This window comes from Homo sapiens, chromosome 7 (assembly GCF_000001405.40).
Source record: "Homo sapiens chromosome 7, GRCh38.p14 Primary Assembly".
Taxonomy (NCBI): Eukaryota; Metazoa; Chordata; class Mammalia; order Primates; family Hominidae; genus Homo; species Homo sapiens.
Window position 1 is genome coordinate 100,940,097 of NC_000007.14, and position 1,962 is coordinate 100,942,058.

Here is a 1,962-nt window from a genome sequence, read left to right on the forward strand (position 1 = left end):
TTTTGTAGCTGTCCTTTAATAGGTTGAGGAAGTTCCTTCTATTTACTAGTTTTCGGAGAGCTTTTATCAGTAATGGACGTCAGATTTTGTCAAATGCTTTTCCTGCATCTATGGAAATGATCATGTGGTTTCTCATCTTTAGACTGTTGACATAAGAAATTACATTGATTCATTTTCAAATGTTTAACCAGCTTTGTATCCCTGGGATTAACCCCACTTGGTCATGATGCATTATTTTTATGTATTGCTATGTTTTATTTCATAATATTTCCTTGAGGATTTTTGTGTCTATATTCATTAGGGCTATCGGTCTAGTTTTCTTGTAATGTATTTGTCTTGGTTTGGTATCAGAATAATGCTGGGCTCATAAACAAAGTTGGGAAGTGTTCCATTTTCTGAAAGAGTTTGTGTACAGTTGGTATGATTTCTTCCTTAAGTGTTTGCTGGAATTCAATAGTAAAGCAATTCAGTCATATTAGCAAGCTTAGATCTTTCTATAGGAAAGACCGTGGTATGATTTTTTTTATTATACTTTAAATTCTAGGATACATGTGCACAACATGAAGGTTTGTTACATAGGTATACATGTGCCATGCTGGTTTGCTGCACCCATCAACTCGTCATTTACATTAGGTATTTCTCCTAATGCCATCCCTCCCCCAGCCCGCCAGCCCCCAACAAAGTCCAGTGTGCGATGTTCCTGCCCTGTGACCAAGTGTTCTCATTGTTCAATTCCCACCTATGAGTGGGAACATGCAGTGTTTGGCTTTCTGTCCTTGCGATAGTTTGCTAAGAATGATGGTTTCCAGCTTCATCCATGTCCCTGCAAAGGACATGAACTCATCCTTTTTTATGGCTGCATAGTATTCCATGGTATATATGTGCCACATTTTCTTGTCTTTTTATTCATTTTCTTTTTTTGAGATGGAGTCTTGCTCTGTCACCCAGGCTAGAGTGCAGTGGTGCAATCTCGGCTCACTGCCAGCTCTGCCTCCCGGGCTCATGCCATTCTCCTGCCTCAGCCTCCTGAGTAGCTGGGACTACAGGCGCCTGCCATCACGTCTGGCTAATTTTTTGTATTTTTAGTAGAGATGGGGTTTCACCACGTTAGCCAGGATGTTCTTGATCTCCTGACCTTGTGATCCACCCTCTTCAGCTTCCCAAAGTGCTGGGATGACAGGCGTGAGCCACCACATACTTTTAAATAAAACGTACACCTCAATAAATTCACTAAGACCAATCATGCTATAGATATCTGGGCTTGCAATTCAAGAATAATATCATTAAAATAAAAGTTTTAAGCACACACTTTAAGATCACCAATGGTGGAAAACCAGTTTTAACAATAATATATTTATTTTTTATTTTATTTATTTATTTTTTGAGATAGAGTCTTCCTCCGTTTCCCAGGCTGAAGTGCAATGGCACAATCTCAGCTCACTGCAACCTCTGCCTCCTGGGTTCAAGCAATTCTTCTGCCTCAGCCTCCCAAGTAGCTGGGATTACAGGTGTGAGCCACTACACCTAGCTAATTTTTTTTTTGTATTTTTAGTAGAGACCGCGTTTCGCCATGTTGGCCAGGCTGGTCTTGAACTCCTGACTTCAAGTGATCCACTCACCTTGGCCTCCTAAAGTGCTGGGATTACAGGCATGAGTCACTGCACCTGGCCTAAAAATAATGTATTTATTATTATTTTATTTTTTAAAACACAGAGACGGCTGGGTGCAGTGGCTCACTCCTGTAATCCCAGCACTTTGGGAGGCTGAGGCAGTTGGGTCACCTGAGGTCAGGAGTTCAAGACCAGCCAGGCCAACATGGTTTAAAATACAAAAATTAGCAGGTCGTGGTGGCATGGGCCTGTAATCTCAGCTACTCGGGAGGCTGAGGCAGGAGAATTGATGGAACCTGGGAAGCGGAGGCTGCAGTGAGCTGAGATTACACCACTGCACTCCAGCCTGGGC